Here is a 14,585-nt window from a genome sequence, read left to right on the forward strand (position 1 = left end):
CCCTTTGCCTAGGTTTTCTTATTCTGTCATGAAACTTCTGTCCTAATTCTTCCTGTAAAAACTTTCTTGCCGTGGCATCCACATTAAACGTTATAGACATACACCTTTATTTTTTTCCATGATCCCCATGAACATAAGAAATATACCTTTAATAAGGATATTCCACTTGAGTTTGCACAATGGCAACACCTGTGTCATAGTAATAGATGAATTAAACCTACGCCATCCACCTTTTGTAAAGAATGTAATTCCATTTGAGCTCTTCCTTTGAGGAGTTTAATTTTCTTAAAAAAACTTACTTAGAGTTAACAGTTTTTCAGCTGTTGGCCTAGAGATTGATATATTTTTTTTCTTTTGAGAGTTTGACATATAATTCCACCAAGCTGGGTATGAGCTACGCAATCGTGAAAAAAGTATGTTTCTCCAGTCTAATAAATTGCTCACATTTTGTTTTTGAGCTCAGATAATTTTAAAACTTTTTCTGAGAGAAAAGAGGGAAACCTTGAGATTTTTATAACCTACAACGATTTTAATGGGAACAGTTTCACTGATCTACCATAGAATTTGGCTTTTGAATGAATAAATTAAAAATTATATGAATAGTGTTTATATTACTGACTTCAGCAGGTGTGTTTGAAATAAAGTAATTGCAGCTACATTTACTGAACACTGCTATGTGCTAGTTACTCTGGTAGGTGATGTTCAGGCATTTTTTTCATTGATCCCTACAAGAATTTTATTATACGTCCATTTATAGAAGAAGCGGCTGAGGCTTCTTCTTTAATGACTTTTCCAATGGTGCATTGCTAATCACAAGAGCTCGGATTTGAACCCAGGCCGTCTATGTTGTATCGTAACCATAATGCATGTTTGGTACTGCAGAAAAAGACATAGATAGTTCCTCATGAATTCATAAGTATCATGTAATTTAAATGATAGCATTGATCAGAATGTACAATTAAAGTTGTTTTTGTATGTATGCGATGTTGCCTTGGCTTTCGTGTTATGGATATATGCTTTTGGTCAACCTTTCTAGGTGGCTTTTAGTTTCATTTGTTGATTATAAGGAAAAAAATCACAACTGTATTTCAGAACAATTTTGTTATTATGTATAAAAGCCACAAAATGATATGAAAAGAAGTAAAATTATGGTTCCCTTCACAAGCTTAACTTGGGTATTTTATGCCATATATATTAAAGCAGAAATTTAACATCACTTAGCATTCCAGAAAATACTAGAAATGCATAAAGGAGGACTGTCTTTAGTTGCTATGGGAACCATTTGCTCTAAAAAATTTTGAGTACTTAAAATCACATCCATTATTGTTTTAGTCAGTTAAATATCTATATCTATATTTATATAATATACTGAACAATCAGACTGAAGCTACTGAAAACCTTTAGGCGTATACCTTATGTTTTAACTTAATATGATTTTGGATTACCTTTATTTAAAAATAAACATTTCTTTTATATTGATGAAACAGTATAACATGTCTAGGGATACTCTAGAAGAAATTAATTAATAATTTTTCCTTTGTGATATTATCTAACTCAGCCAAAAAAAGATGTAAGCAACAGGTGCTGTAGGATGTGGCAGGAACAGGTAGGGCAGTAGAGAGCCCCTTCCTCCATAGCAACCTTGAGGTCTCCTGGCCTCGACTTGAAATTGGACTTTTTATTTTTATTTTTTTCTTTCCAGCTTTTATTTTAGGTCAGAGGGTACACATGCAGGTTTGTTACATGGGTAGATTTTGTGTTGCTGGGGTTTGGTGTACAAGTGGTTTTGTCACCCAGGTGGCGAACATAATACCTGTTAGGTAGTTTTTTGACCCTCACCTTCCTCCCACCCTCCACCCTAAAGTAGACCCTGTGTCTGAAATTGGGCTTTTAAAACTACTGGTCAGGTTGTGTCAGTCTGGAGGGCAGAAGAGAAGGAAGGGCATCACCACTAATCTTAAGGTCTGCTTCCTTTGGCCCTACAAACCATACATTCTGGGAAAGCCTTCTTTCTTCTTTTATTATATTCAGCGGAAGGTTCACTTGCTCTTCTTGCTTCCAAGTATCCGAGGCTATCCCATGAGAAAGGAAGACAGAGATGGCCATGGTTGGGGCTGCCTGCTTCATGGGGCTGGCGGGAACTGGGAACAGGTAGAAGCCCCACCCACTGCTGAGCTGGCAGGGCAGGAACCTCATGCTCCCTGAGCACAGCTGCGGCTGCCCAGCCATGGCTGCAGACCCAGCATCCCTGTGCTCTTAGAGGCTGGGAGCAGGCAGGAGCCCTGCCCTCCCAGGTGCAGCTGCAGCTACCCAGCCACGGCTGTGGACCTGGGCATCTTTGCACTCTCAGGGACCCAGGAAGACACCCCTGCACCTGCAGGCTTCGAAGTACCTGCTTCCACTGCCTGGCCTCTCCCTGTTCCCAGTGCCCGCTTCAATCTTGGAGCAAAGTTGAGGCTAAACCCAGGTGCTGTCGCAACCCAGCCAGGTGTGTGTGCACCCAGGGCAGCACTTACATGCCAGCCCCCTGCCGCCTCAGCCCCTTCCTGACTTTAGGCACTGACAAGCATGGGAGGAAGGCTGAGGGGGTGTTGAGGGCAGTTTGGCACTGGCCTGCAGGTGCCCCTCAGCATGAACAGCCTGAGTACCATGAACAGGAGGCAGACAGGCTCCAGGGCAGATGGGGGAGTTCCCCGGTGAAGTCCCACCTTCAAGCCAAGGAAGGCCTGAAGCCTGGGAGCTGTCAGTCCTGCAGTTCGGGAGTGGGAAATTATCGTGCTTTTTTGATGCCCACCCATGGCCACCCATGAACCTGTCAGCACACACTTCCTCCCCTCTGAAGCCCATGAAATCCATGGACTCAGCCAGACTCGAGCACTCAGGCCGACCTGCCTGGAGAGAGAAGCTGCCCACTCCAGGGTCTCCTCTCTGCTGAGAGCTGAGCACTTGACTGGATGACCTGCCTGCATACAGGAGCTACCCACTCAAGGGTCTCCTCTCTGCTGAGTGCTAAACACTTGTTGGGACACCCTCACTGTGGAGCAAAGCTGACCACTATGGGTTTCCTTTGCGCTATTCTGTCATTCAGTAAAGCTCCTGTTCACCTTACTCACCCTCCACTTGTCTGCATACCTCATTCTTCCTAGACACAGGACAAGAACTCGGGACCCACCAAATGGCAGGGCTGCAAGGGCTATAACACAAGCAGGGCTGAAACATGCTCCTTGCTCACCACGTTGTGGGTGACAAGAAAGAAGGAGAGAAGACCTACAGCCCTTCAGGGAGCCCAGACCTAGAAGCTCCCCGAGCCAGGGCTGTGACACCCTCTTCGTGGCTCTGCAGTTCCTGGTGTCTGAAGTTTCTGGGTGCCACCACGTTCCCCATTGCCAGCCTTGGAAGCTGCTTGCAGGGAGCTGGTGCCCATGCCGGCACCTGGAGCTGCCCATCCCACCACAGCCAGTGTGCCTGGCTGTGCTCAGTGGCCAGATCCCATGCTCGCTCACTCACACACCCGTCACCTCTCCCAACTCGCCCTTGGCAGGCATGGAATCCAGGCCGGTAGTGTCAGCCGAGCGCAGCCTGCCAAGCCAAGTGGGCCCGCTGGGCCCGAGCAAAACTCAGGTAAAGGTGCCACTGGCCACAGAGGTTTCTGGCTGGCGAAGCAACACCCCAAGGATCCCATAACATTATCAGCCATTGATGATCATTGCCTTGGTTCATTAATTCATTAGGAGTTGCAGAATGGTCTAGGTCTATCAGTCACTTACTGTCATCACCTAAAAGTGACCAAGGTAGTTATAATTATTGTTGTCATCATCAGCATTGTCGTCATCAGCTTGTGTGTTTGAACACATTTGATGTGTTTCAGTCCATTGCGCTTAATATCTTTATTGCTGCTCATGTCTTCCCCAGCCTTCCAGTGGGGCTTACTCTGCATGGGTGACTCCTGTCCTGGTCCATTTCAGGGAGCTTCTTTGCTTTCTGGTGTGATGACATATTCTAGGTGTATATTTTCCATTTTCTACTTCAGACCTAGAATTGGCCATTTTTCCAGGGAATCCTGGTTGTTTTTCTGTGGGAAATGGCCATTAGAACTTACAATCTGAACATAGAGATGCTCATTACTACTTTATTTATTTTATTGTTTATTGTTTTTGGATCTTCTCATTGGAGAGAGCTAAGATATCTTGGTATGCACACATACACACATTTAAAGACAAACTGTGCCCTGAGTGCATACTGACAATTCCTATGCAAATTCAAAACTGTAGGGATTTTAACCTCCTTTATCTTACATCTTTATCCTCTTTCAACTATGTTTTCAGAAGAGTTGTATATTTTAAGGCATATTGACTAAGGAAAAGTGACGTTATTAACCAGCCGTGTGAATGACTAGCCTGGCCTTTTAGATCATGTTTGAGAGGTAGCACAAGCACTGCCACTCTCCCCATACTAGAGTGCTATAAATACAGTTTAAAAGTGAACTGGCTTGAGACCTAGTTTTGCAAAGGTTTGAACCTTTAAATATATGAAAAAATGTTCGTCAGTGTTGGGCTCCTTAGTTTGATTTGGCCAAGTTAACCCAGTTAACAGTTGGGATATTTGATTTTAAGACCACAGAACTTCTAGTTTTGCTGGCATTTCTAGTTACTGCATTTATTAGGTATATTCTATATTATTTGGATTAACTTCTAGATAAAATTTAAATACAGGTTTATTAAATGATGTTATTCAGCTATTATGAATATATCACAAAATGAACTATGTCTAAATAGCAAAATGAAGCTCTAAATTTCCATAATCAAATTCTTCTTGAATATACCAATAATAATAGGATATAACTTTGGATATCTGTATGTTATTTTGGCTATCTGTATATTCATTAGCCAACTTAACGTGTGCTTGTCAATATATATTGCTAGCATATGATGATACAAGTCAGAATTTTTAGTTTTAGTACAGTACTCCAAATTGATAAATATTTGGGTTAACTTGGTTGTGGTCTAGAAATCAAAGGTCAACACTATGTTAATTATTAAAATCAAACTTATGGGCTATATAAAGGTAGATTCTTCTTTGAGATGTTCGATTAATACAGGATTTAGCTTGCATAAGATATTTCAAACAAAATTACTCCAGGCCCTGCTGATGTTATTAGTGATGTCGGTGGTAAGAATTTCAATCAATATCTCACAAATGGGCACATTTGAAAGTTGGATAATACAGACTATTTTCACTATTGAAGAAATGAAAGTGCCGTTTAATCCCCACCTGTATGTCTGAGGAAGGGGGACTGGCTCAGAGCTCCCTGCCTGATGCCTGCGTACTCAGAGCAGCTCCAAAATGCCTGAGATTGATTAATTTGCTGCAAGTGCTGCTAACTTCCCAGACCTCAATTTCTTTCAATCATTGCTCTGATTATTGCAAAACTATTTCTGAAAGACTTAATATGTATCTTTTGCTGGTAAATTACTGCTCATTTAGAAGTCCTAGAGTTAGTCCATTGCATAGAGAAGGTTGTAAGTCTAATTTAAATAACTATCAGTACTTTTTTCTAGCCTGCTCAAATTGAAATACATGCACATTTGAAGATACTCTTGCTTTTATAAAGAGCTGTATTTAACCCGGTCAGATATCTCCTCTCAGGCATCATCATTATGGTTATTTCACTAAGTGGACAAAAGATGGGTCAGTGATTTATTTAACAACCCAGGACATTCGGTCACTGTGCTTTGCATGGTGTCTGAGGTTTTTGTTCCCAACAACTGTGTCCTAGGCTGTCTCTCCCAGTGAACTCTCATATGGTAAAGAACAGTGCGATGCCCATCCTTCATCATTTTTTATGGTCCTTCTGTCACGCTATTAAGAATGTAGAGTGCCAGTGCTTGACGGGGCTGCCTGTTTCTTATTCTGAAAATGGGGCAAAATGTGGCTGACAATTTTGCTGTGTCCACCTGATGTATATTTTCACAATTTTGTTTTGCTGTGGGTTTCTAGATGCTCAGTGGTACCTGAGGTTCTGAACACACTGACCTCTCCAGGTGTCACTGTCATGGGGAAAGGACGGTAGGGGCAGACTCTCATGCCTGTCTGCACCTGACTTGCAGCAAAGGAATTGGGGCTGGCCATCACTCCCCACACTTCACTGTTTAATTCCAGCCTAGGGAATGGAATCTGGGGACCAAAAGACATCTTAAAATCAATTTAGTCACTTGTTCAATGCCTGAATCACTTTTAATATCACCACCAGTCCTCCCTAGGATGTACAAGGCATGGTTTATATGTTAAAGTTAGAGCAATAAAAACCAGGCAAGGATCCCTGCCTTCATGGGACTTGTATTCTAGTAGGGGAGATAGAGAGCAACTATGGTAAGTAAGAGAATTATGCAGCATGTTAGGAAGGGGTCAGTGGCACTCATAAAGGAACAGCTAGGTGGTGCCAAGTAGGAGCATGTTTCAGTTTGGAATTTAGGCGTCAGGTTAGGCCTCAGTGAAGTATTTGAGCAGTCCCTGGAAGGAGATGGAGTTGGCTCTGGGGGATGGGTGGGAAGCATTCTAGGAGGAGGAAGAGGTCTCAAGGAAGGAGGAAGCCTGGTCTGGAAAGAACAGCCAGGAGTCCACATGGTGGGGCTGAGTCAGCCGGCACAGTGGTGCGGCCATGGCACAGTGGGACTGGGAGTGCCTGAGGATGGGAGGACTGGGTGTGTGCCTTCTCGGTGGTCGTTCTTAGTACCTTAGCCTGTACTCCAAAATCTATAATCAGAAAGTTTCCATATCTAATTTGGTAGCAAAACCTCCCCATTTTTGTAATTCATTTGGTGACCAAACCTGACCTGAATGGATGTGAAGCTATTTAGGGTTTCTGTTTTTTCCTCCTTAAAGTCAATATTCCTAGGTTTGGATGCAGAAATGTCAAAACCTAGGAATTATGGGGTGCTGTCTCAGACTTTCCTTGGGGTGTCAAAGAATATGCAGTGCAGATGCCTTTATGAAATAAAATAAAAAATCTGAATTCTGAACCACATTTTACTGCGAGGATTTCAAATAAGTAAGTACTGGTGACTTTTACTAGTATCCTGTGGCCCAGACATTCACATCCCATTCCTGTTTTACGTGCCTGTCCTTTTCATGCTGGAAGATGGTTGTCCTCTCCCCCTCATTCTCAGCCAGCTGCGTTAATGACTAGCCTGGTCTCCAGCTCCTCCCCTTCTTCAGTTCCCTAACTGTGGGCCAGGGGATTTATTCACTGTCTAGCCCACAGTCCTCTGAACAAGTCTGCTTCTCTTATGCTCTGCCGAAAGCCTGAGGCTCCAAATGGAATGCTGTGTGCTGGGACAGGGACAAGAGGGACCATCTCTCCAGATACTTCATTAATACAACTGAAAATTGAATTAGGATTTTAGACAAAAACCTGCTCCACAATTGTTATGTATGTTTTAATGATGAAGATGATGCTAAATCAGAACTCTATCCACTTAACAAAGTCTGATTTTACAGGGAAGCATCAGATGCACATTTATTTTTATTGATGTTTATCTTGTTTTAATTTATTGTTTGGCTTTGTAGATATCTTTTTCCATCCCTTTTTGTTAATTTATGTGCTCATATATTGTCACCTGTTCATTTGAGAAGCACATCTATGACTATCAAAGGCAGGAATAAACTTGTTGGGAGAAGTCAGGGATGAGGAAATAGCCTTGTGCCAAGGCACCAGAAACAGACGTCAGCGTTGGTGCCAACGAGCAGCTGCGACTCTGGTCGCTTGCATGTTTCTAGTCCACCTGATCTTCCTGGCAGTTAGCCCATCTTGTTCTCCTTGTGTCCACAGAGCTATCATAGGAGACATTGTCTGGTGCTTTGCCAGTGACTCTGAACACTGTGCTTCCTCATTTCCTCATGCTCCAAGAAATATGGTTCGACACTGGAGGAAGAAAAGTAATACCTTTCCTCACCCATCACAAGGTTTATGGCTGAAATCCCTATAACAAAAGACAGATTAACAAGATAAACACATAAAAAATTATTTAATATGGCTGGGTGCGATGGCTCACACCTGTAATCCCAGCACTTTAGGAGGCCAAGGTGGGCAATTACAAGTTCAGGATTTCGAGACCAGGCTGGCCAATATGGTGAAACCCTGTGTCTACTCTAAATACAAAAATTAGCTGGTTGTGGTGGCAGGCACCTGTAGTCCCAGCTAACTGGGAGGCTGAGGCAGGAAAATTGCTTGAACCTGGGAGGCGGAGGTTGAAGTGAGCCAAGATCGAGCTGCTGCATTCCAGCCTGGGTGGCAGAGCAAGACTCCGTCTCAAAAAAAAAAAAAAAAATATTTAATACAAGTTTTACATGGCACAGGAGCCTTCAGAAAATGAAGACCCGAATACTCAGGGAAAACTGTGTTTTTATGGACAGTCGTGTAGAAGTGTGATTGAGGGACAACAGGGCAGGATCTGATGGTAATAAGCGGGGTGCACTGAACAAGGCCTGTTTGTTCAGATTCTCTGTGGCCTGTGTGACATTCCTGCCCTCCAGATACAGGGCAGGATACCTGCCACATGAAGGCCTTTAGGGGAGGATGGAGGGAGAAGTCAGAGAGTGACCTCTGAGTTTCCTAGCCCATCTCAGGGCAGAAAGGGGCAAGTGGAATTTCAGTTTCTGTGTCCTGCTTGGTGGGGGGGCGGGGAGGGAATGGTCTGCATGATCTTTCTGATGTTGTGGTTTTCTCAGCTTCTTTCAGCTTAAATACTTAGTATGCCAAGGTGCCATATTTTGGGGTACCATTTCCTGCACTGCATCAACACTAACAAAGTGGAGGGTGAGGTCTCTCTCCTCCCTTCTCCTCCCCACCCAGTACTTTGAGGACATCCCCTCATTTCTCCTCCATTAGTCCCAAAGTGCATTTGCTGCCTTACGCGTGTCTTCTTAGAATGGGGCTGATAGAGAGCCTGATGTTGCTCTTGCACCTGACACATTTTTTGCTTTAAGAACCAAGGAGGGGTCTCTGAATGTGTGCATGTCAGGATTTCAAAGGAAACTAATAACGTCATTGAAGGCTTGTATCTTTTTCCCTCGTGGATCACATCTTTCTGCGTGTTGGGTCATTTGGCCTTTCGTTTCTGTGCCTCTCCCCATCCTTGCCCTGCCTGGTCCTTTCTTCCCCATGCTTCCTCTCCTGTTGCCTCACCCAGCTTTCCCCACTCCTTTCTGATTTTCTGTCTTCACACTGTCATTCCCCCGCTCTTCTCCAGTGTAGACGGCATGTTTTCCTGTTTCTTTCTTCTGTTTTGTTATCCCACTGCCCCTGTGGCTCTTCTGTCTCTTCATGCCTTCCTGGTCTGGCCTCTGCTCATTTCATTCATCTTATGGGGTGCCTCCATGGTTGCTGTCTTTGGGCTGCTATTCTAGCTCATGATTCCAAAGTGGGGTACTCTACTTCGGTGACCCAACATGACCTTAAAGACTTGCTTATGCACCTCTGACAAATCAAGATGCACGACCCCTGGACACCTTCAAAAAGCCACAGGGCTTTTAGTTTCTCAGATGATCACCACATTGGCATCCTATTGCTGCTGTAACAAATTCGAACCTCGTGGCTTCATCATCTTACTGTTTTGCAGGTCAGAAGCCCTAAAAGAAGGTGACGGCAGGGTTGGTTCCTCCCAAAAGCTCTGGGAAGAATCTGGTCCTTGCCTTTTCCAGATTCTAGAAACCTCCCTCATATTTTGCCTCGTGATCCCCTCCTCACACTTCAGAGCCCGTCGGCACAACCTCTGCTTCTGTTATCTTTCCTTCACATTGACCCTTCTGCCTTCCTCATAAATAGAACCTTGTGATTACGTTTGGCCAACCCAGATAATCCAGTCTATCTTTCCATCTCTAGACCCTTATTTTAATCATACCTGCAAACTCCTTTTTGCCATGTAAGGTAACATAGTCCCAGATTCTGGGGACTGGGATGTAGACATCTTTGGAGGCCCTTATTCTGCCTACCACAGTCATGATGAGTTGGGGCAATGTTGCTGACTGACGACACACAGAACCTCTAAAACATTCTTTTACTTTCCCTGTTCGTCTCCATTGTAAATAGGGATTCTTTGTCTAGGGTTTGGGGTTTAAGCCTGTTAATTTAGTAGAACCTCATTTTTCTCTTCTACCCCTGGAAGATTTTTTTCCACTGAGGCTGTGATTCCTAGAGTCAGCCAGTATTTCTTGAGTTCTATTTATTGTGCACCTGGGTACACAAAATGAGTAAGATACGACCCTGGACCTTATGGACTGCTAGAGGAGAAAGATGTTACTGCAGTAGAGTACATGTTGTGTTGATTTCATTTTCTAGATATCTTTAGGTTCCGTCCCTTTGTTTCTGTCTTCTCTCATTGTGTCATTTGTTACTATGATTTCTGAAAACAATTTACCCAGTTTCCCTTGACATCAGTTGGACTCACACCGTATCTCCTCCAGTCCATTACTGTACACACAGAGGTGTTTGTGTTACCTCTTTGCCTAAGGTCCTTCCATTCCCAGCATCAGAATACACTGAAATCTTTAACATGTCATACTTCTTGTTGCAGTCTGTATTGTGCTTTTCCTTCTAGCCTTTTTACCTGCCATACCAAGAAGCACTTCTGTTCTTGCCATATGGGATAAGTTATACTTCCCTTAGAGTTCCCCTAGAGTTCTCCTATACTTTCCCTATAGTTTTTTTATAGTTCTCCTAAAGTTCCCCCATAGCTACCCTATATTTCCCCTATAGTTCTGTGCTCTCTCTTGGCTCCTGACTCTGAAGAGCTTCTCTTATTCACTAGACTTTTCCTCTTTATTCCCTGCCTAAGAAACTTCTGTGCATCCTGAAGCCTGGGCTTAAGCAGTGCTTCCTAGAAAGCTTGCACTGACAACATCTCCAGGACTATAGTTTGAATATTTGTCCCCTCCAAAACTCATGTTGAAATATTAATCACCAGTATTAAATCAGTATTTAATCTCCAGTGTCATTATTGAGAGGTGGGGCCTTTAAGAGGTGATTGGGTCATCATAGGAGAGCCCTCATTAATGGATTAATACATGTGTGGATTAGTGGATTAATGGGTTATCATGGGAGAGGGACCAGTGGCTTTATGAGAAGAGGAGAGACTTGAACTAGCACACTCAGCCCCCTCACCATGTGATGCCCTATGCTGCCTCAGGAATCTGCAGAGTCCCGGCCGGGCGTGGTGGCTCACGCCTGTAATCCCAGCACTTTGGGAGGCTGAGGCGGGCAGATCATGAGGTCAGGAGATTGAGACCATCCTGGTGAACACGGTGAAACCCCATCTCTACTAAAAATACAAAAAAAAAAAAAAAAATTATCCAGGCATGGTGGCGGGCACGTGTAGTCCCAGCTATTTGGGAGGCAGAGGCAGGGAGAATGGCGTGAACCCGGGAGGCAGAGCTTGCAGTGAGCAGAGATGGCGCCACTGCACTCCAGCCTGGGCAGCCAAGTGAGACTCCATCTCAAAAAAAAAAAGAGAATATGCAGAGTCCCCACCAGCAAGAAGGCCCTCACCAGATGAGGCCATTTGACCTGGGCTTCTTAGCCTCCATTACTGAAAGAAATAAATTTCTTCATAAATTTTAGTTTCAGATATTCTGTTATAAGCAACAGAAAACAGACTAAGACATCCAGTCAGGTCTTCTCCTCTGTGCTATGGGAGGCAGTTCATTGCTCTGTATTGTAATTATTGCCTTGTCTGTTTTTTTTTCTAGCCAGACAATAAGCTCAATTAGGTAAATGATGGTTCTTTTAATTTTATGCTCTCTTATATGATATAGTGTGTGCCCCATAAAAGACTGTCACTGAATATTGGTTGAACGAATGCCTGAATCCATGCACACATGAATGGTTTAATACAAAATGGCCTGCAGATTTGAGTAAGATGTGTGATTTGCTATTCCTGTGTAGATTCTAAGCTAAAACGATTGCTGCTTGGTTTCTCCTCCCTATGTACTATTTCTCTTGAAGCTGAAGCTGACTTTTCATGTGATTAAGTACAGGAGTTAAAAATTTATTAAAGGCTCATTCCTGAGCATTCATATGACTCACTAGAGTCACGCAGGGCTCCTAGTCCGAGGCTGTTTATTTTATAGGGCCCATCTGTGGCATGAAGACAGTGCTACTGTGAGTCATACTCCTCTCAGCATATGCATAAATCCAAAAAGGAGGGTTTCTTTTACTTGAGTGCCCTCAGTATAGCCTTGAATAGTTGTGAGGGGTCAGTAAGTGCAAACTTGAAATTGTTTTTGAATAAACATTCTTTTGATAGATGCTTCTGTTTGGAAAAATATTAGGAGATTATTACAAAAGGATATTATTACAGGATTCATGCCGCAAGTAAATAGATAAATAAATGGATAGATAGCCCTAAGGCCTCTTTGGTTGTTGTTAGCAAACAAATACTTACAGATATGCAATCTGCCTTTATGGCTTAATTTCTTTTCCCTTCAAAAACCAGAGATGTGGTTCTTTTTCAGTTTGGAAAGAAGACTAGGGAGTAGTATGTCTAAGATTATCCTTAGGGCTAGAATTTGCTTATTTCCTGGGGTGGGGTGAGAATCAGAGACTGAATATCTATGGAAAGCAGAGAGGAACCTTTCTCCTGTTGTATTATTAATGCTAAATTTGGTTTTGTTTCATTTTTTAACTTCTTGATGCTGTCTATGAGAACAAATTTAGGGCATTTAGTGAAAAAAACACACACAGACTTATGTGGGACTTTATTTTCTGACTTACGGCATTGTGTGGTATAAACAAGACTGTTTTACAGATAATACTAAAGATAATGTTGATGGAACTGTTCTTCCCCACTCGTGATGTTTCCTTCCAAGTGGCAGGAACTGTACTATTGCAGCACTCCTGTCTGCTTTCTCACTGCCCAAGCTGAAGCTGCCTGGGAGGAAGGGCTGAGCATGCCTAGCCCAGCCCCTTCTTTGGGGAGCTGACTGCCTATGGGAACCCTCTCCCTCCATCCTGTGAGTTTTACAGCAGCACTGAACATATGGGAGGCCTTGTGGTTTTCTAGGGTGGCCTGGGACTGGGTTAGTGAGTCTGTTTATTCTGTGCTTCAGGATTAGCAAGCCCATTGTTCCTGCACTCTTAAGTCATATTCCTCAGTCTCAGGTTTATCAGTAATAAAGGTGGTACTTTGATAGCCGCTCTGCCTTTCTCCTTGAATTCATCACTCAGGTGTTCCGGCGCTTGGGCGGGGCTGCATGGTGGAATTGTTATGGCTGTGTCCTTGCGTATGCCTGTGGGTTCTCCCAGCAGCCCTGACAGTGGGTGGTATCATCTCCTCTTTACAGATTAGGAAGTGAGGCTCTATGAAGGTTAACCACTCTGGATGATCACTATAGGTTTGGCATACTGGTCAGGCTAACTCCCAAACTTGTGTCCCTTAGGTGATTCGGCCAATGAAAATATCACAGATAAAAGCTTTTAAAGGACTTTGCATAGTATAAATCACTGGGTAATACAGATGAGTTTGATTCCTTTGTAGGCTAGCATTTTCATAGCTATGAATGTAAACATTTTAATATAGCCTGCAAGTCCCTGAGCACACAGGTGCTTGCCCACCTCCCTAGCTCCACTGGCTGCCTTAACTTCATCCAAAGCCTTCATCTCTTTCTCACCATCTTGAGCTTCCTGTAGCGTTTCCTATAACTAGAATGCTCTTCCCCTCTCACCCTTCCCCTTTGCCTGGTTAGCTTCTGTTTACCCTTCAGATCTCAACTCACATGTCACTTCCTCAGACTAGCCTCCCACAGCCACTATATCTGCAGTTTGTCTGCAATGGGGTTTCTGCTAGCCAGCTCATCTTTCCTAAACCACCCTGGCCATCGTTTCTGATTATGTATTCACTCTAAACCTATACACCCCAAACAACTGCAGGCCCATAAGCCCAGCCACCACTTTTCTTTTGGGTACCATTGTGATCATGCTATCTTGACATAGTGATAGCTCCTGGTTGGGATGCCAAGAGTGGTTGCTGAGTGAATAACGGACATAGTGCTTGGGCATTACGCTTGGCATAATGATCATGTATTAGCCTTGAGGTCTTTGTCCATTGTTTTTTACTAATACTTATAAATAACATGTTAAAGATAGCCTCTTTCCTGATTATAAAATACACACACACACACACACACACACACACACACACACACACACACACAGGTTTCCGCTTTCAGGGCTAGATATTTGTCCATATTCGTATTTGTCTATGGGGGACTGTTGGTGTGAGAAACTTTATATATATGTGTGTGTATATATATTATATATAGAGAGAGAGAGAAAGAGAGAGAGAAGAGAGAGCACAAGAGCAAGAGCACATACAAGAGAGAGAACTAAAATCTCTAACCTGCTTTTGAGACTTTAAATCTCTAACCTGCTTTTGAAGCCACGAGGTTTGAGGCTTTAAACTATTGGAAGCATAGAATGGATTTCCAAGTGTGCATAACTAAAAGGGTTACTTAATATATGGGGATAATAAAAGACCATATATGGGGATAATAAAAGACCAAACTGCCCCAGCTGTGGAACTTTGTTTATGTGG

At 43.3% G+C, this 14,585-nt stretch overlaps 1 protein-coding gene across 36 annotated transcripts in view; it reads left to right on the top strand.

The window, feature by feature from the left end:
- PTPRM (protein tyrosine phosphatase receptor type M) overlaps positions 1-14,585 on the top strand; it is an 839,541-nt gene that overhangs the window by 366,657 nt on the left and 458,299 nt on the right. For 10 of the 36 annotated variants that reach the window (NM_001378147.1, NM_001378145.1, XM_047437718.1 and 7 more), the window contains exon 1: positions 12,903-13,005. The exons of the other annotated variants lie outside the window; for them this stretch is intronic. In NM_001378147.1, coding sequence (NP_001365076.1) covers positions 12,982-13,005 — 24 coding nt within the window. In that variant the 5' untranslated portion in view covers positions 12,903-12,981. Of the gene's footprint in view, positions 1-12,902; positions 13,006-14,585 lie in introns of those variants that run through there. 36 annotated transcript variants of the gene reach the window in all.

The sequence above is a fragment of the Homo sapiens genome, chromosome 18 (genome assembly GCF_000001405.40).
Source record: "Homo sapiens chromosome 18, GRCh38.p14 Primary Assembly".
NCBI lineage: Eukaryota > Metazoa > Chordata > Mammalia > Primates > Hominidae > Homo > Homo sapiens.